This window comes from Homo sapiens, chromosome 1, assembly GCF_000001405.40.
Source record: "Homo sapiens chromosome 1, GRCh38.p14 Primary Assembly".
Taxonomy (NCBI): Eukaryota; Metazoa; Chordata; class Mammalia; order Primates; family Hominidae; genus Homo; species Homo sapiens.
This window is the reverse complement of record NC_000001.11, coordinates 32,626,623-32,646,142: the sequence shown is the minus strand read 5'-3', so window position 1 is coordinate 32,646,142 and position 19,520 is coordinate 32,626,623. Positions and strand designations below refer to the sequence as shown.

At 44.3% G+C, this 19,520-nt stretch overlaps 1 protein-coding gene across 41 annotated transcripts in view, besides 2 other annotated features; it reads left to right on the top strand.

Moving 5' to 3' along the window:
• The window catches only part of ZBTB8OS (zinc finger and BTB domain containing 8 opposite strand), a 30,113-nt gene that overhangs the window by 4,790 nt on the left and 5,803 nt on the right, over nucleotides 1–19,520 (top strand). For 5 of the 41 annotated variants that reach the window (NM_001366257.1, NM_001366265.1, NM_001308141.2 and 2 more), the window contains exons 2-6: nucleotides 11,351–11,375; nucleotides 12,071–12,192; nucleotides 12,416–12,498; nucleotides 14,264–14,316; nucleotides 18,599–18,635. In NM_001366257.1, the coding sequence (NP_001353186.1) occupies nucleotides 12,120–12,192; nucleotides 12,416–12,498; nucleotides 14,264–14,316; nucleotides 18,599–18,635 (246 nt within the window). In that variant the 5' untranslated portion in view covers nucleotides 11,351–11,375; nucleotides 12,071–12,119. Of the gene's footprint in view, nucleotides 1–11,344; nucleotides 11,442–12,032; nucleotides 12,193–12,415; nucleotides 12,499–12,788; nucleotides 13,565–13,797; nucleotides 13,936–14,263; nucleotides 14,317–18,277; nucleotides 18,367–18,598; nucleotides 18,636–19,520 lie in introns of those variants that run through there. The other 36 variants (NM_001308139.2, NM_001366260.1, NM_001366259.1 and 33 more) reach the window with 26 other exon arrangements.
• Nucleotides 2,739–3,497: an enhancer, noted in NCBI's record as "OCT4-NANOG-H3K27ac-H3K4me1 hESC enhancer chr1:33108247-33109005 (GRCh37/hg19 assembly coordinates)". NCBI's record gives its function as "activates a minimal SCP1, AML or CMV promoter by ChIP-STARR-seq in naive and primed H9 embryonic stem cells {active_cell/tissue: H9 hESC(naive and primed)}" and the evidence as "EXISTENCE:reporter gene assay evidence [ECO:0000049][PMID:30033119]".
• Nucleotides 3,498–4,257: an enhancer, noted in NCBI's record as "OCT4-NANOG-H3K27ac-H3K4me1 hESC enhancer chr1:33107487-33108246 (GRCh37/hg19 assembly coordinates)". NCBI's record gives its function as "activates a minimal SCP1, AML or CMV promoter by ChIP-STARR-seq in naive and primed H9 embryonic stem cells {active_cell/tissue: H9 hESC(naive and primed)}" and the evidence as "EXISTENCE:reporter gene assay evidence [ECO:0000049][PMID:30033119]".

Here is a 19,520-nt window from a genome sequence, read left to right as displayed (position 1 = left end):
TCACCATGTTGGCCAGGCTGGTCTCGAATTCCTGACCTCAGATGATCTGTCTGCCTTGGCCTGCCAAAGTGCTGGGAGTACAGACGTGAGGCACTGCACCCAGCCAAAATACATCTTTTATTGAAGTATGATGTACTTATAGAAGAGTGCCCGTGTCATAAGTGAATTTTCAGAAACTGAGTACACTTGTATAAGTAGTATAATAGTTCTCAAAATGTAATCTCTGTATTCCTGGGGTTCCCTATATCCTTCCAGAGGGTCTGTGATGTCAAAACTATTTTCATAATAATACTGAGGTGTTATTGTTTTCACTGTGTTGATATTTGTACTGGTGGTACAAAATCAGTGGTTGGTAAAACTGGCCCCAGCCTGTAGTCCCAGCTACTCCAGAGGCTGAGGTGGGAGCATCACTTGAACCCAGGAGTTTGAGACTCGGCTTGGTCTTTTGGAGCTATAATTGTACCACTGCACTCTATCCTGGGCTACAGAGTAAGGCTGGGCTCTATCTTTTGGAGCTATAATTGCCCCCACTGCACTCCATCCTGGGCTACATAGCAAGACTCTGTCTGTGAAAGAAAAAGCAAAAACAAAATCTCTTGGCCCTTTAGTACAAATTGAGACAGCAGCACCAAACTGTATGCTAGAAAGGGTCTCCCTCTGTCTCCCAGGCTGGAGTATAGTGGCGCTGTCATGGCTCACTGCAAGCTTGAGCTCCTAGGCTCAAGCTGTTCTCCCACCTCAGCCTCCTGAGTAGATGGGACTACTGTCTATGCCTGGCTACTACACCTAGCTAATTATGTTATTTTTTATAGAGATGGGGTCTTGTCGTGTTGCCTAGGCTGATCTTGAAATCCTGGCCTTAAGCAATCGTCCTGCCTTGGCCTCCCAAAGTGCTGGGATTACAGGTGTGAGCTACTGCACCTAGCCCTAAGGACATTCTTGAATGAAAATGACTTTTTTTTTTTGAGATGAAGTCTCACTCTGTTGACAGGCTGGAGTGCAGTGGCGCCATCTCGGCTCACTGCAACCTCCTCCTCCCAGGTGCAAACAATTCTCCTGCCTCAGCCTCCTGAGTAGCCAGGACTGCAGGCACACGCCACCATGCCCAGCTAATTTTTGTATTTTTAGTAGAGACGGGGTTTCACCATGTTGGCCAGGATGGTCTCAATCTCTTGACCTCGTGATCTGCCCACCTCGGCCTCCCAAAGTGCTGGGATTACAGGCGTGAGCCACCGTGTCTGGCTGCCTTTTTATTATTATATTATTTTTAATTTTAAGTGCGTGGTAGTAAATTAAACACCTGGGTGAGGTGGCTCGTGCCTATAATCCTAACACTTTGGGAGGCCTAAGCCGGAGGATTTCTTGAACCCAGGATTTCCAGATTAGTCTGGGCAACACAGTGAAACACATCTCTACAAAAAAAAAAAAAAAAAAAAAAGCTGGGTGTGGTGGCATGTGTGTGTAGTCCTGTAGTCGCACCTACTGGGGAAGCTGAGCCAGAAGGATTGTTTGAGCTCAGGCGTTCAAGGTTGCAGTGGGTTATCATCATGCCACTATACTCCCGGCCTGGGTGACAGAGTCCCTGACTCCAAAAAAAAAAAAAAAAAAGGAAAAAGAAAAGAACATTCTTAGGATAGAAGCAGTGGCTCACACCTATAATCCCAACACTTTGGGAGGCTGTAATGCCCAACCTGGTATTTACTAACTCTGTTTTTAGACTCTCCCTTTTCCCTTAATCACCTAGTCTTGTTTCCACCTGAATTGACTCTCCCTTAGCTAAGAGAGCCAGAGAGACTCCATCTTGGCTCTTTCACTGGCAGCCCCTTCCTCAAGGACTTAACTTGTGCAAGCTGACTCCTAGCACATCCAAGAATGCAATTAACTGATAAGATACTGTGGCAAGCTATATCCGCAGTTCCCAGGAATTCGTCCGATTGATAAACGCCCAAAGCCCCGGATCTATCACCTTGTAATAGTCTTAAAGCCCCTGCACCTGGAACTGTTTACTTTCCTGTAACCATTTGTCCTTTTAACTTTTTGACTACTTTACTTCCGTAAAATTGTTTTAACTAGACCCCCCCTCCCCTTCCTAAACCAAGGTATAAAAGTTAATCAAGCCCCTTCCTTGGGGCCGAGAGAATTTTGAGCATTAGCCGTCTCTAGGTCGCCGGCTAATAAAAGACTCTTAATTTGTCTCAAAGTGTGGCGTTTTTCTAACTCGCTTGGGTACAACAAGGCCAAGGTGGAAGGATCACTTGAAGCTAGGAGTTTGAGCAACCTGTGCAACCTAGTGAGACCCCCATCTTTTTAATAGAAAAAGAAAAAAAAAAGTAAAAAAAATTAGCTGGGGCCAGGCATGGTGGCTCACGCCTGTAATCCCAGCACTTTGGGAGGCTGAGGCAGGCGGATTACGAGGTCAGGAGTTCAAGACCAGCCTGGCCAACATAGTGAAACCCCCTCTCTACTAAAAATACAAAAAATTAGCCCAGTGTGGTGGTGCACGCCTGTAGTCGTAGCTACTCGGGAGGCTGAGGCAGGAGAATAGCTTGAACCCGGGAGGCAGGGGTTGTGGTGAGCCGAGATCATGCCACTGCACTCCAGCCTGGGCCACAGTCCCAGCTACCTAGAGGCTGAGGCAGGAGGGATCTCTTGAGCCCAGGAGGTCAAGGCTGCTGTGAGCCATGATTGTGCCACTGTACTCCACCTTGGTAGACAGTGAGAACCCATCTCTTTAAAGAAAAAAAAACCAAAAACTAAAACAAAAACTAAAGGCCAAGTGCAGTGGCTAATATCTGTAATCCCAGTACTTTGGGAGGCCAAGGCGGGTGAATCACCTGAGGTCGGGGGTTCGAGACCAGCCTGACAAACATGGAGAAACCCCCGTCTCTACTAAAAATACAAAAAATTAGCCATGCGTGGTGGTGCATCCCTGTAATCCCAGTTACTTGGGAGGCTGAGGCAGGAGAATCGCTTGAACCTGGGAGGCAGAGGTTGCAGTGAGCGGAGATCGTGCCATTGTACTCCAGCCTGGGAAACAAGAGCGAAACTCTATCTCAAAAAAAAAAAAAAAAAGGCCAGGCACGGTGGCTCACGTCTGTAATTCCAGCATTTTGGGAGGCCGAGGCCCGCAGATCACCTGAGGTCAAGGGTTTGAGACCAGCCTGGCCAACATGGTGAAACTCTGTCTCTACTAAAAATACAAAAATTAGCCGTGCGTGGTGGCGCGTGACTGTAATCCCAGCTACTCCGGAGGCTGAGAGCAGGAGAATCCCTTGAATCTGGGAGGCGGAGGTTGCAGTGAGCTAAAATTGGACCATTGCACTCCAGCCTGGACGACAGAGGAAACTCCATTTGAAAAAAAAAAAAAAAAAAAAAGACCTAGAATTGATGGAAAGGGAATGTTCTGGTTAAGATAAAAGATTGTGGAGAACAAAGTTCTTTTGAAGTCCTATAGTGGCTGCCCTTAGAGACAATAGAAGACAAATGTTTCCTATTCAGATGTTAGTTAACATCTTTAGGATTGGGAGGGTCTGGAAGAAAAAGATCTAGCTATGTTAATAGAGATTCTTTACGGATGCAAATTCTCCCCCAGAAAGAACAGCTTTGCCGGGCCATTTCTTTTTTTTTCTTTTTTTTTTTGAGACAGAGTCTCGCTCTGTCACCCAGGCTGGAATGCAGTGGCACCATCTTGGCTCACTGCAACCTCTGTCTCCTGGGTTCAAGCAATTCTCCTACCTCACCCTCCCGAGTAGCTGGGATTACAGGTGCCTGCCACTACGCCCAGCTAATTTTTGCATTTTTAGTAGATACGGGGTTTCACCACGTTGGCCAGGCTGGTCTTGAACTCCTGATCTCAGGTGATTTGCCTGCCTTGGCCTCCCAAAGTGCTGGGATTACAGGTATGAACCACCGCGCCCGGCCCTGGCCATTTCAAAATATGGCAAAGAAACATGCTTTGGGGTAAAATATTTTGATTTTCTTCCTTGTGTTGTATCTTGTAATTTTATGCCAGACTCAGGTTAGAAAGTAAGTCACGATGTATAGGGTTAAATAAAATACTTCTGAAGAGAATTTGTGATTTGTAGGGCATGACTCCCCAAACCCCTTAGATAGGAATTTGGGCAAGATAAAAAAAAATCAGAGTTTAGTTGTCATAATATTCTATGTAACAAAATTGGAAGTATGTACAAAGGTTTTGTTTTGTTTTGTTTTGTTTGAGACAGTCTCGCTCTGTCACCCAGGCTGGAGTGCTGGAGTGCAGTGGCACAATCTCGGCTCACTGCAACCTCCGTCTCCCGGGTTCACGCCATTCTCCCGCCTCAGCCTCCTGAGTAGCTGGGACTACAGGCGCCAGCCACCATGCCCGGCTAATTTTTTTTTTTTTGTATTTTTTAGTAGAGACGGGGTTTCACCATGTTAGCCAGAATGGTCTCGATCTGCTGATCTCGTGATCCGCCCGCCTCGGCCTCCCAAAGTGCTGGGATTACAGGTGTGAGCCACCGTGCCCGGCCTGTATAAAGTACTTTTGTGGCATGTTAAGTGTTGATTACTTGTGGAAAAGAACAATAATTGGCCGGGCGCGGTGGCTCATGCCTGTAATCCCAGCACTTTGGGAGGCCGAGGCGGTGGATCACCTGAGATTGGGAGTTCGAGACCAGCCTGACCAACATGGAGAAACCCCATCTCTACTAAAAATACAAAATTAGCCCGGCGTGGAGGTGCATCCCTGTAATCCCAGCTACTCAGGAGGCTGAGGCAGGAGAATTGTTTGAACCCAGTAGGCAGATGTTTTGGTGAGCTGAGATCGCGCCATTGCACTCCAGCCTGGGCAACAAGAGCAAAATCTGTCTCAAAAAAAAAAAAAAAAAAAAAAAAAACTTGTGTAATTGAGTTGTGAGCTGAACTAGGTCCGTTTTTCATGGAACACTTTTTCTTGAAAGAATGAAAGACATGCTTTTGTTATTCAGACTTCAGTATTTGGCTTGCTCTATTGCCCAGGCTGGAGAGCAGTGGCACGATCTCGGCTTACTGCAACCTCCACCTTCTAGGTTCAAGGGATTCTTCTGCCTCGGCCTCCCGATTAGCTGGGATTACAGGCCCCACCACCATGCCCAGCTAATTTTTTTTTTTTTGTATTTTTAGTAGAGACAGGGTTTCACCGTGTTGGCCAGGCTGGTCTTGAACTCCTGACCTCAGGTGATCGGCCCACCTCGGCCTCCCAAAGTGTTGGGATTACAGGTGTGGGCCTCCACACCCTTGAAAGTGAACAGTGATCTGTCACATCAAGGAAAATAGCTGACAATATTTGTTGATAATGGTAAAATTCAAGTCCAGTTAAAATTTTCAGGCCTGATGAGCTTAATCTCAGCACTTTGGGAGGCCAAGGGGGACAGATGGCTTGAGCCCATAAGTTCGAGACCAGCCTGGGCAACGTGGCAAAACCCTGTCTCTTACAAAACATTAACTAGGTGTGGTGGTGCGTGTCTGTAGTCCTTACCACTTGGGAGACTTGAGGCAGAAGTATCACTTGGACCTTGGAGGTCTAAGCTGTAGTGAGCTGTGATTGTGCCACTGCACTTCAGCCTGGATGACGGAGTGAGACTCCGTCTCAAAAAAGAAAACAAAAAGATTCATTCTAAGTGCATAATAGATCAATGGATTTTAATTTTACAATATGGTAAGTTCATTGTGATGGTTACAGAATCCACATTGCAACTAACGTTGAAAAAACTACCATGTTTTGGCCGGTGCGGTGGCTCATGCCTGTAATCCCAGCACTTTGGGAGGCCGAGAGGGGTGGATTGCCTGAGGTCAGGAGTTCGAGACCAGTCTGACTAACATGGTGAAACCCCGTCTCTACTAAAAATACAAAAAAATAATTAGCCAGGCGTGGTGGCGTGCGCCTGTAATCCCAGCTACTCGGGAGGCTGAGGCAGGGGAATTGCTTGAACCAGGGAGGTGGAGGTTGCAGTGAGCTGATATTGCACCACTGCACTCCAGCCTGGGCGACAGAGCAAGACTGTCTCAAAAAAAAAATACCATGTTTTGAGTTTTGGTATAACATAAAAAAAGATTATCCATAATTTTTTTAAAAGGCTAGTTAAGTAAAGCAGTGGGAGTGGAGAAGGAACAAAGAAATGTATAACTGGTTATGATGAATTAATTGTAAACATCACTGCACTTGGACCAGCCTAGCCACAATTATTTGAAAAAGCTATTAAAATGCTCCTGTATTTTCCTTCTGCATATTTGTGAGGTTGGATTTTATTTATGCACTCCAAGTAAATGACTATATTGCCAGACATTTAAAATATTTGAAAAAATGTAAAACAGTGCCAGTCTTCACTAAATTTTTTTTAATTAATAACTTTTATTTTTTTTTAGAGTTGGGACCTTACTCTGTTGCCCACACTGGAATGCAGCTCACTGCACTCTTAGCTCACTGCAGCCCAAGCTCCTAGGGTCAGGCAGTCCTCCCCATCTCAGCCTCCCAAGTAGCTGGGACTACAGGCATGCACTACCACGCCTGGTTTTTTAAAAACTTTTTAAGAGATGGAGTCACACTATGTTGTCCAGGCTAGTCTTGAACTCCTGACCTCATGCTGTCCTCCTGCCTCAGCCTCTTCAGTTGCTGGGGTTACAGGAATGAGCCACCATGACCAGTTAAATCTTTTAACAATATAGTTACTTTTTCATAAAAATATGCAAGGCCAGGATGGTGGTAAGCACTTGAGCCCAGGAATACTAGGATATATTGTACTATGGTCGTGCCTGTGACTAGCCACTGCACTCCAGCCTGGGCAACATAGGGAAACTCCATCTTTTTTTTTTTTATTTTTTTTGGGGGAGTAGAGTCTTGCTCTGTTGCCCAGGCTGGAGTGCAGTGGCATGATCTTGGCTCACTGCAACCTCTACCTCCCAGGTCCAAGCAGCTCTTCTGCCTCAGCCTCCCGAGTATCTGGGACTACAGGCACATGCTACCACACCGGGCTAATTTTTGTATTTTTAGTAGAGATGGAGTTTCACCATGTTGGCCAGGCTGGTCTCGAATTCCTGACCTCAAGTGATCCACCTACCTCAGCCTCCCAAAGTATTGGGATTACAGGTGTAAACCAATGCGCCTGGCCAGGAAACTCCATCTTTAAGATAAATAAATAAAAGCAAAAAGATAAAAATACTCAATTTATGTTCAATAAAATGGAATGATTATTATTGTTATTATTATTTTTTAGATGGAGTCTCACTCTGTCACACAGGCTGGAGTGCAGTAGTGCGATCTCAACTCATTGCAACCTTTGCCACCTGGGTTCAAGCGATTTTCATGCTTCAGCCTCCCAAGTAGCTGGGATTACAGGGTTGTGCCACTATCCCCAGCTAATTTTTTCTATTTTCAGTAGAGACAGCGTTTCACCATGTTGGCCAGGCTGTTCTCGAACTCCTAATTTCAAGTGAACTACCCACCTTGGCCTCCCAAACTGCTGAGATTACAGTTGTGAGCCACCACACCCAGCCTATTGTTATTTTTAAATGAATTAATACGTATTTAAAAATCTTTTCACTTAAAATTTGCAGTATGGTCATTGACAGATATAACCCATATTAACAAAAGCTCTTTGGGGTCTTCAATAATTTTTAGGAGAATAAAGAATTCTGGGCTGGTCGCAGTGGCTCACGCCTGTAATCCCAGCTTTTGGGAGGCTGAGGTGGGCGGATTACAAGGTCAAGAGATCAAGACCATCCTGGCCAACATGGTGAAACCCCGTCTCTACTAAAAATACAAAAATTAGCTGGGCATGGTGGCGCATGCCTGTAATCCCAGCTACTTAGGAGGCTAAGGCAGGAGAATCACTTGAACCTGGGAGGTGGAAGTTGCAGCGAGGCTCTGTCTCAAAAAAAAAAAAAAAAAAAAAAAGAATTCTGGAGACTCCAAAATTTGAGAACCACTGCCCTATAGCAGTGTGTCACTGTCTTTTAAATTGATTTTTTTTTAATTGAAATATAATTTAGTCTGGGCGCGGTGGCTCAGGCCTGTAATCCCAGCACTTTGGGAAGCCAGTGTAGGTGGTTCACCTGAGATTAGACGTTTGAGACCTGCCTGGCCAACATGGCAAAATCCTGTCTATACTTAAAAAATACAAAAAATTAGCCAGGCATGGTGGTGGACTCCTGTGATCCCAGGTACTCAGGAGGTTGAGGTGGGAGAATCACTTGAACCTGGGAGGCAGAGGTTGCAGTGAGCCAAGATCACTCCACTGCACTCCAGCCGGGGCTACAGAGCGAGAGACTCTGTCTCAAAAAAAAATTATATATTTTACCTGAGTAAGGTGCTCAGACCTTATGGTGTAAAGTCCAGTGAGTTTTTATAAACAGATGCATACATCTCTGTAACCAACACTCCATCCAATCTATAGAACGTGTTCATCACCAGAGAAAGTTCCCTTTTGCTCTTTTCCAGTCAATCCTCCACTTCCTTGTCTTGAGAAAAACACTTGTGTTTTCTACCACCATAGCTTAATTTTGCCCATTTTAGTTTTCATATAGATGGAACCACACAGTTTAGATTCTTTTTTTTTTTTTGAGGCAGTCTTGCTCTGTCACCCACACTGGAGTGCGGTGGTGCAATCTTGGCTCACTGCAACCTCCGCCTCCAGGGTTCAAGCAGTTCTCCTGCCTCAGCTTCCGGAGTAGCTGGGACTACAGGCGGGTGCCACCACGCCCAGCTCATTTTTTTTTTTGTATTATTAGTAAAGATGGGGTTTCATCATACTGGCCAGGCTGGTCTCGAGCCCCTGACCTCGTGATCCACCCACCTCGGCCTCCCCAAGTGTTGGGATTACAGGCGTGAGCCACCGCGCCCGGCCAGATTCTTTTATGTCTGGCTTCTTCACTCGTGTGTGAAAGGTAAATACAACTCGACGTTACTCAGAGCAGTGAAAACAGGTTTTATTTAATAACTACTGTGGGAAAAGAGCTGAGCTCCATTCTGATTTGTGTGGGGATGACTGGGCATTTTAAAGGGAGAGGAGTGAGGGGGACTTAGTAGAGTCAGAGAAGTGAAAAAGTACAAAGAGTTGATCAGTGTAAATGTGATTAGTCTAGCTGTGTCTGACAGCTGACAGTGTGGAAATTAGAATTCTTTCCTCCCACAGAGGCTGGAAGACAGACAAAGGCCCATCCTTCCCGTTGATTACATTTCAATGGAATGGCTCTTGGGTTTTAGAGAAAGACACTTCTAAGTAGTAAGAGATGGATATTCACATTTGTAAGCTCTTTTTAGTACCTGCTCTAAGAAAGGAAATTTGGGGGCCTACATAAGGTGTTTGCTAGAACAAACATATTCTCCTGGCCATGATGCTCTTTCTCAGGCAGGCATTTCTACGACGGACAGAGGGTTAGGGTCATCCTAGGGACCTGACCCTCTTCTTCCCCCCCACCTTTTTTTTTTTTTTCCATTTTTTGAGTTTTGCTCTTGTTGCCCAGGCTGGAATGCAGTGGCGCGATCTTGGCTCACTGCAACCTCCGTCTCCTGGGTTCAAGCTATTCTCCTGCCTCAGCCTCCTGAGTAGATGGGTTTACAGGTGTGCGCCACCACGCCCAGCTAAGTTTTTGTGTTTTTAGTAGAGACAAGCTTTCATCATGTTGGCCAGGATGGTCTCTATCTCCTGACCTTGTGATCCACCTGCCTCGGCCTCCCGAAGTGCTGGGATTACAGGCGTGAGCAACTGCGCCCAGACTCAAGTTTTTCTTATAAGTGTAACCGCCCAATGGGTTAACTTTGCCTGCTGCCCAGACAAAGCCGATTCATCAAGATGGGGGAATTGCAGTGGAAAAAGACTAATTTACGCAGAGCTGGTTGTGCTTGAGACCGGAGTTTTATTACTCAAATCAGTCTCCCTGAGCATTTGGGGATCAGAGTTTTTAAAGACAATTTGGCTGGTAGGGGCTTGGGAAGTGGATACTACTGATTGGTCAGGTTGGAGATGGAATCACAGGGGATTGAAGTGAGTTTTTCTTGCTGTCTTCTCTTCCTGGGTGGGATGGCAAAACTGGTTGAGCCAGATAACGAGTCTGGGTGGTGTCAGCTGAGTGCAGGGTCTGCAAAATATCTCAAGTACTGATCTTAGGTTTTACAATAGTGATGTTATCCACGAGAGCAATTTGGGGAGGTTCAGACTGTTAGAGCTAGAGGCTACATGACCCTTAAACTCTAATTTCTAATCTTGTAGCTAATTTGTTAATCCCAGAAAGACAGACTGGTTGGTCCCCAGGCAAGAAGGGGGTCTTTTCGGGAAAGGGCTGTTACTAATCTTGTTTCAGAGTCTAACCATGAACTGAATTCCTTCTCAAAGTTAGTTGGGCCCACCAGAAATGAACAAGGACAATTTACAGGTTAGAAGTAAGATGGAGTCAGTTAGGTCCGATTTCTTTCACTGTCATAATTTCCTTAGTTATAATTTTGCAAAGGCAGTTCCAAGTGAAGGAATCATATTCATGATCTCCAGGAATTCCTTCCAGCCCTAATATTCTATGATCCTAAGTGGGAAGAATTGATGAAAGTCATGTTGTGGGCCAGGCGCAGTGGCTCACGCCTGTCTGTGATCCCAGCACTTTGGGAGGCCTAGGTGGGCGGATCACCTGAGGTCAAGAGTTCAAGAGCAGTCTGGCCAACATGGTGAAACCCCATCTCTACTAAAAATACAAAAATTAGCTGGGTGTGGTGGTGTGCGCCTGTAATCCCAGCTACTCAGGAGGCTGAGGCAGGAGAATCACTTGAACCCTGGAGGCAGAGGCTGCAGTGAGCCAAGATCGCGCCACTGTACTCCAGCCTGGGTGACAGAGTGAAACTCCAACTAAAAAAAAAAAAAAGAGTCATGATATGGATGAAGAATGTTGAGAGGAGAGATCCAATGGGAATGTGCTATAGTACCGTTTGTTACTTTCTGGTTTTCCTGTGGGAATATCAGGAAAAAGCTCATATATTGTGGAGTTTATTTTCTAAATTGATTTTATCTAGGATTAGGTTCACTGTAAAAGAAAAGGTGAGACAGAAACCTGGAATTTTATTTATTTATTTATTTATTTTTGAGATGGAGTCTTGCTCTGTTGCCCAGGCTGGAGTGCAGTGGCGCGATCTTGGCTCTCTGTCCCCGCAAAAAAAAAAAGATTCCAACAAAGCAAAGCAATTAGCTTTGTTGAGTGAATAGATAGCAAAAGGTGTGGATGGACTGGCCCACATTTTCTTGCTCTTTAAAGATGATATTCCTAATAATAATGGACTAGAGTTATTTTGTGTGTGTGATTTGAGAGTCAAGTTTAGTGTCTTATAAGTGTTTTTCCCTCTGTCCCTCAGATTTGGATCATACAGCAGATGTCCAGTGAGTATAGCGGGAGTTCATTCCTTTGAAACCACGTCAGTAGGAAGACTGAATGTTTCAATCTTGGTATCCCTATCTTTAATTTTTCTCCTCTCATTTTGGTTCCTTCACAATATGAAAATGATGGTTTGAAAGCACTCAGTTTTGCAGGGTTCAGTGGCTCAGTGAGCCGAGATTGCACCACTGCACCCCAGCCTGGGTGACAGAGAGACCCCATCTCAAAAAATAAAAAATAAAAATAAGGCCGGGTGTGGTGGCTCAACGCCTGTAATCCCAGCACTTTGGGAGGCTGAGGCGGACGGATCATGAGGTCAGGAGTTCGAGACCAGCCTGACCAACATGGTAAAACCCCGTCTCTACTAAAAATACAAAAATTAGCCGGGTCTGGTGGTGCCTGCCTGTAATCCCAGCTACTTGTGAGGCTGAGGCAGGAGAATTGCTTGAACCCAGGAGGCAGAGGTTGCAGTGACCCGAGATCGCACTACTGCACTCCAGCTTGGGCAACAGAGTGAGACTCAGTCTAAAAAATCATAAATAAATAATAAAAAGAAAAGCACCTGGTTGCAGTGCTGTTAAATTGATTGAGGCCTTAAAATTTGTATTTATCATACTGAATTTATTTTGACTTTGCCTGCTATCAAATTTTCTTTCTTGCAGTGGATTGTATTACACAGAGCATGAATATACTTCTTTAGGTTACACGCATGGGGAGATACTCTGGAGGAAGCATTTGAGCAATGTGCAATGGCCATGTTTGGTTACATGACAGATACTGGGACAGTGGAGCCCCTCCAAACAGTAGAAGTAGAAACCCAAGGTAAATGATTTATTCACAAGGAAGAAATTGTTATACAGTACTGTATAGAATTGTGCAGTATTCTACATAATCTGAGTATATTTTCACAAAAAGAACCAGAAAATTAAGGATGAGTCTTTTCTTTCTCTTTAAACTGACCTAAGACATTTATTTATTGCACTTTTAAATTCAAGTATGTTTTTAGAGACCAGAATTATTAAATATACTATTTGATCTTGTGTAGGAGATGACTTACAGTCTCTTCTGTTTCACTTTTTGGATGAATGGCTTTATAAGTTCAGTGCTGATGAATTCTTCATACCCCGGGTAAGCAAAGGTTTTTCTTTTTTACTGAGCAAATGGATTCTTAGTTCATATTTTAAAATAGAACAGATGATTTAAAATAGGACATGTGAAACAAAACCAATCCATACAAATAAGATGATACTGATTTGCAGAGATTATAATGACCACGGGCACTTCCTGGTTAACCTGCATTTGCCTATGTGGGAACATTTCGTATTTAGATCTCATGTATTTGTCACTAATCAGGATTGTGTGATAAAAATGTACCTACAGTTTTCATCCACATTTTTTTCTGTTTTTGTTTTTGATAGAGACAGGGTGTTGCTATGTTGTCGAGGCTAGTCTTGAACTCCTAGCTTCCGGCAATCCTCCTGCCTCAATTTTGCAAAGTGCTGGGATTACAGGTGTGAGCATTGCACGCAGCCTCATCCACACTTTTTATGTTTCCCAAGTTTGAGCTATATTTATGTCCATCCATTTTTTCCTTTTGTTCCATGAAATTTAGTAGCCCTGTCACATTGGCCTAAGTTAAACAACTGCAGCTTTTAGTTTTCCTTAACATGAAAAAAGGAAAAGCCAAATGGAGATTGCTTGCTGCTGTCATCCTTTAGAAGGGAACACATCTGCAATGTCATTGTTATTTAATAGAGATGGCACTCTCTGCTTTTATAATTCCTCCATTCTCTGCTTTACCAGCTTCACTACTTATACTCATTCTATCAACTGAGTCACTCATCCTACAGAATTCAAGTGCCTACCAGTAGTTTATTAGGCTCAGAGTGATTGAAATCCTATGTCGTCCTCCTCCACCATATATCTGTTTTCCCCCAGCGTTAAACAACAGCTTTTATTGAAGTGGCAGTGTACAGCAGCGGCAGAGGTACTGCCCCTGTGTGCCCAGAGTAGTTCTCTACCATATATCTTGCAGAGAAATTCTTTTGACTCATATTTTTAGATCTTACATTTTTCTAGAATACCTCCCTTGAATATGTAAGAAAAAACTTATTTCCTTGAAATATATTTAATACTCAGCTTGGGCAACATGGCGAAACTCCCTGTCTCAAAAAAAACAAAAAAACAATAATTATCTGGGCGCAGTGGCACATGCCTGTGGTCCCAGCTACTCCAGAGGCTGAGGTGGGAGGATTGCTTGAGCTCGGGAGGTGAAGGTTGCAGTGAGCCAAGATCATGCCATGGCACTCCAGACTGGGCAACAGAGTGAAACCTTGTCTCAAACAAACAAACAAAAAAAACTGCATACATATATATCTCATTTGTTGTCCTATTTTAGCTAACATTTTAATTTTCTTTGCTTCACAGAAGTTGTGTGCTATTGTTTTCTAGAAAAGGTTGTAAAGGCCAGGCGCGGTGGCTTACGCCTGTAATCCCAGCACTTTGGGAAGCCGAGGCAGGTGGATCACCTGAGGTCAGGAGTTCGAGACCAGTCTGACCAATAAGGTGAAACCCCGTCTCTACTAAAAATACAAAAAAAATTGATTGGCCGGGCGTGGTGGCAGGCGCCTGTAGTCCCAGATGCTCAGCAGGTTGAGACAGGAGAATTGCTTGAACCTGGGAGGTGGAGGTTGCAGTGAGCCGAGATCACGCCACTGTACTCCAGCCTGGGCGATGGAGTAAGGCTCCATCTCAAAAAAAAAAAAAAAAAAAAAAAAAAAGGTTTTACCAATTTTTAGTAGATGGTCCAAAAAAACAAAACAGAACAAAAAGATTTTTAGTAGATAGTCTATTATGAACTTTTTTTAATTAAAAAATTTTTCTTCCTGTCTAGGAAGTGAAAGTACTTAGCATTGATCAAAGAAATTTCAAATTACGATCAATTGGGTAAGTTTTGAAAGTCTTTTAAGTACCGAGTTAAAGTTATATTCTTCATTGAATTCAATGAGCAAGGAAACAGATGGAAACATAAATCAGAGGGCCACTTGCAGATTGAGTTTTGTGGGATGTCTAAGGGCTTGGAAGGACCAGAAACTTAACAAAATAAAGTTGATTTTAATTGTTAAATCTGATTCCCAATTTGTTGATTTTTTAGGGAGAGAATATGTGTAATTGCTAAATGGCACAGCATAAAGCCCAGCTTAGTGGATGGGAAACACTGACACTTTTTTTCTCATATGTTCTCACTTCTAGACCTATTTAAATCAATTCCTTCTTTTAACAAATCGTACTTTTATTTTCCTTCCAGAGTTTGCAAACACTTGATTAGGTCACTTTGATTGGACTTGTTTCTCAGGTTTCTTTAGTCACTTAATTATATTTTTTAGGTTTTTTCTTTTTTTTCTTTTTTTTTTTTTTTGATACAGGGTCTTGTTCTGTCTCCCAGGCTGGAGTACAGTGGTGTGGTCATGGCTCACTGCAGCTTCAGCCTCCTGGGCTCAAGGGATCCTCCCACCTCAGCCTCCTGAATAGCTGGGACCACCAAGTGTGCCACTATGCCTGGCTGACTTTTTTGTTTTCTGAAGAGATGGGGTCTCCCCATGTTGCCCAGGCTGGTCTCAAACTCCTGGGCTCAAGCAGTCCTCTGGCCTCTGCCTCCCAAAGTGCTGAGGTAATAGGCATGAGCCACTGTGCCTGGCCCTCCTAGGTTACTTTTACATATAGCTTTTTTATTTTATTTTCATTTATTATTTATTTATTTATTTTTGAGACAGAGTCTCGCTCTGTTGCTCAGGCTGGAGTGTGTGATCTCAGCTCACTGCAACCTCCACCTCCTGGGTTCAAGCGATTCTTCTGCCTCAGCCTCCCGAGTAGCTGAGATTATACGCGCCTGCTACCACGCCTGGCTAATTTTTTGTATTTTTAGTATAGACGGGGTTTCACTGTGTTGGCCAGGCTGGTCTGAAGCTCCTGACCTCAGGTGATCTGCCCGCATCAGCCCTCCCAAAGTGTCGAGATTACAGGCTTGAGCCACTGTGCCCGGCCTCATTTATTTTTTTAGAAATGGGTTCTCATTCACTATGTTGCCCAGGCATCCTCAAACTCCTGGGCTCAAGTGATCCTCCTGCCTTGGCCTCCTGAGTAGCTGGGACAACAGGTGCATACCACCACGCCCGGCTCCATTTAATTTAATTTAATTTGATTGATTGATTGATTGATTTGAGACAGGGTCTTGCCCTGTCCCCCAGGCTGGAGTGCAGTGGTGTAATCATGGCTCACTGCAGCTTTGAACTCCTGGGTTCAAGTGATCCTCCTTTCTCAGCCTCCCAAGTAGCTGGGACTACAGGTGCGCACTACCATGCCCAGCTAATTTGTTGTTGTTGAGACAGAGTCTTGCTCTGTTGCCCAGGCTGGAGGGCAGTGGTGCAGTCTTGGCTCGCTGCAACCTCTGCCTCCAGAGTTCAAGCGATTCTCCTGCCTGAGCCTCCTGAGTAGCTGGGATTACAGGCGCCTGCCACCATGCCTGGCTAATCTCAGCTAATTTTTAATTTTTTATAGAGATGGGGTCTTGCTATGTTGCTAGGCTGGTCTCTAACTCCTGTGGCCCCATTTTATATTGAATTTCATTCACTTCTTTTTGTAAAGTGAGATCTTTTATTATCTTCTCTGTGTTTTTGTTTTGTTTTGTTTTTTGTTGTTTTTTAATGAGTAAAGAAACAGGCTTGCTGGGTGCAGTGGCTCACGCCTGTAATCCCAGCACTTTGGGAGGCCGAGGCGGGCAGATCAGGAGGTCAAGAGATTGAGACCATCCTAGCCAACATGGTGGAACCCCATCCCTACTAAAAATACAAAAATTAGCCAGGTGTGGTGGTGGGCACCTGTAATCTGAACTACTCAGGAGGCTGAGGCAGGAGAATCGCTTGAACCCAGGAGGCAGAGGTTGCAGTGAGCCAAGATTGTGCCACTGCACTCCAGCCTGGCAACAGCGCGAGACTCTGGCTCAAAAAAAAAAAAAAAAAAAAAAGAAACAAGCATGTCCAAAAGTACTAGCTAATAAGTGTTTGAACAGAATTTTAAAGCTTTGCTCTTTCTATTATACCACGTTGTGATCTTCACTCACATTAGTGTCAAAGACAGAGAGGAGACTGATCCTAAGTTCTAGATTACTTTTCTAGGGCCTTCTATATACAGATCATGGATATTTTTGGAAAAGTTGTAAAGTGTAAACCAAGTTCGGACTGTATTATAGAGTCTAGTATTTTGCCTTTGTGGTACTCAGACTTGCTTTCTCCAGTGGGAGGTATTATTTAATTAGTTTTTGTTTTTCTTTTTTGTTTTGTTTTTGTTGTTTTTGTTTTGAGAGAGGGTTTTGCTTTGTCTCTCAGCCTGGAGTGCAGTGGCATGATCATGGCTCACTGCAGCCATGACCTTTTGGGCTCAAGCAATCCTCCTACCTCAACCTCCCACCTAGCTAGGACAACAGACATATGCCACCATGCCTGGCTAATTTTTTTTTTTAATCTTTTGTAGAGACAGGGTCTCGCTACATTGCCCAGGCTGGTCTCAAACCCCTGAGCTCAAGCTATCTTCCTGCCTCAGTCTCCCAAAGTGCTGAGATTACAGGTGTGAGCCACCGCACCCAGCCTACTTAACTAGTTTCATAACTGAGGATAGTAAAAATTTTGAATATGTTACTACTCTGTTTTGAAACAATATTTACTAAACAATGTTTATTGAGATTCCACCATAGGTACACTATATTGGGGCACATTTATTTTGAGATCAACTATCAACCTTTTTTTAAAGTTTTTAAAATTAATTTTTTGTTTGTTTGTTTTTTAGACAGTCTCACTCTGTTGCCCAGGCTGGGAGTGCAATGATGTGATCTTGGTTCACTGCAATGTCCGCCTCCCAGATTCAAACCATTCTTGTGCCTCAGCCTCCCGAGTAGGTGGGACCACGGGCGCATGGAACCATGCCTGCCTAATTTTTGTATTTTTAGTAGAGACGAGTTCTCACCATGTTGGCCAGGCTGGTCTTGAACTCCTGGATTCATCTACCTCTGCCTCCCAAAGTGCTGGGATTACAGGTGGGAGCCACTGTGCCTGGCCACTAGAATTAAATTTTTTTTTTTTTTTGAGACAGAGTCTCGCTCTGTTGCCCAGGCTGGAGTGCAGTGGCATGATCTCAGCTCACTGCAATCTCCGCCTCCTGGCTCAAGCGATTCTCCTGCCTCAGCCTCCTGAGTAGTTCGGATTACAGGTGCCTACCACCACGCCTGGCTAATTTTTGTATTTTTAGTAGAGACAGAGTTTCATCATGTTGGCCAGGCTGGTCTTGAACTCCTGACCTCAGGTGATCCGCCTACCTCGGCCTCCCAAAGTGCTGGGATTACAGGCATGAGCCACCGCGCCTGACCTTTTTCATTTCGCTCTGTTGCCTAGGGTGGAGTGCAGTGGCGCGATCTTGGCTCACTGCAACCTCCACCTCCTGGGTTCAAGCGATTCTCCTGCCTCTGCCTCCCAAGTAGCTGGGATTACAGACATGCGCCACCACGCCCGGCTAATTTTGTGTTTTTAGTAGAGACAGGGTTTTTCCATGTTGGTCAGGCTGGTCTCAAACTGCCGACCTCAACTGCCGACCTCAGATGATCCACCTGCTTCGGCCTCCCAAAGTGCTGGGGTTACAGGCATGAGCCACCGCGCCTGGCCTATAATTAAAAATTCTTTTGAAACACAGTCTTGCCCTGACACCCAGGCTAGAGTGCGGTGGTGCAATCACAGCTCACTGCAGCCTTGACTTCTGGGCTCAAGCAATCTTCCTGCCTCCTCCTCGTGAGTGGCTGGGACCACAGGCATGTGCCACCACACCCAGCTAACTTTTTTTATTTTTTTAATTTTGTGTACAGATGAGGTCTCCCTATGTTGCTCAGGCTGTTCTCAAACTCCTGGGCTCAAGCGATCCTCCCTTTGGCCTCCGGAAGTGCCAGGATTATAGGTATGAGCCACCGCACCTGGCCTTAACTATCAACCTTGAGAGCAAATGATGACACTGCACACACGTCCCTCAACAGCTGTATCTTCTGACAAATGAAAATGAAACTTAACAGCTCCCTGACCCCCTCCTGTCTCTTTTGGCTTTCTAGCATGTTAACCACATTTACAAGGCTTATTTTAAAACATATAAAGAGAGAACAAATCTTAATCATGTTTTAATTTGTATTCTCAAGGTGGGGAGAAGAATTTTCATTGTCCAAGCACCCTCAGGTATGTTTTAAAATCCAGCCATTAAGAACATGAAAAATTTCCTTACCATAAAGTTCATATATGTGACAATCAACTTCAGTTAGTTCTAACTGGTGTAAAGTGATAAGTTTTTCTCAAGCTTCTCTGACCTGTCTGGATATATTTTGTTAAAATACTGTGATTATACACACCTGATTTAGTGGATGAGGCGTCAGCATTGGGTTCTAGGGTCAAGTTTGTTCAGATTATTGTGGAATTTGAAATTCTCTTTGCCTTTTTGACCTTTATTTCTTCTCCTATAATAAAGATGTTGGACTAGATGTTCTCTATTGTGCCTTCTACTTTCTGTGTGTCTCTAGATTCTGTATTTGCCGACCTGTATGGCCTCACTCTATGGTAGGAAAATCTATTGGAACAGGAGTTGGCAGTTTTTTTCTGTAAAATGGACAGATAATAAATGTTTTAAGATTTGTGGGCCCAGAATGACAGAAGAGCAGCTACTCAGTGCTTCTGTTGTAGCACCAAAGTAGCCATAGATAATACTTAAATGAATGAGTTCACTTGTATTCTAGTAAAACTTATTTATGCCCATTGAAATTTGAATTTCTTATCATTTTCAAATGTAACAAAATGTCATTGTTTTGATTTTTTTCCCCAACCATTTAAAAATGTAAAAATCAGGGCAGGCATGGTGGCTCAGACCTGTAATCCCAGCACTTTGGGAGGCCAAGGCAGGCAGATCGCTTTAGGTCAGGAGTTTGAGACCAGCCTGGCCAACATAGTGAAACCTAGCCTCTACTAAAAATACAAAAATTAGCTGGGCGTGGTGGCACGCGCCTGTAATCCTAGCTGCTCAGGAGGCTGAGGCAGGAGAATCACTTTAACCTGGGTGGCAGAGGTTGCAGT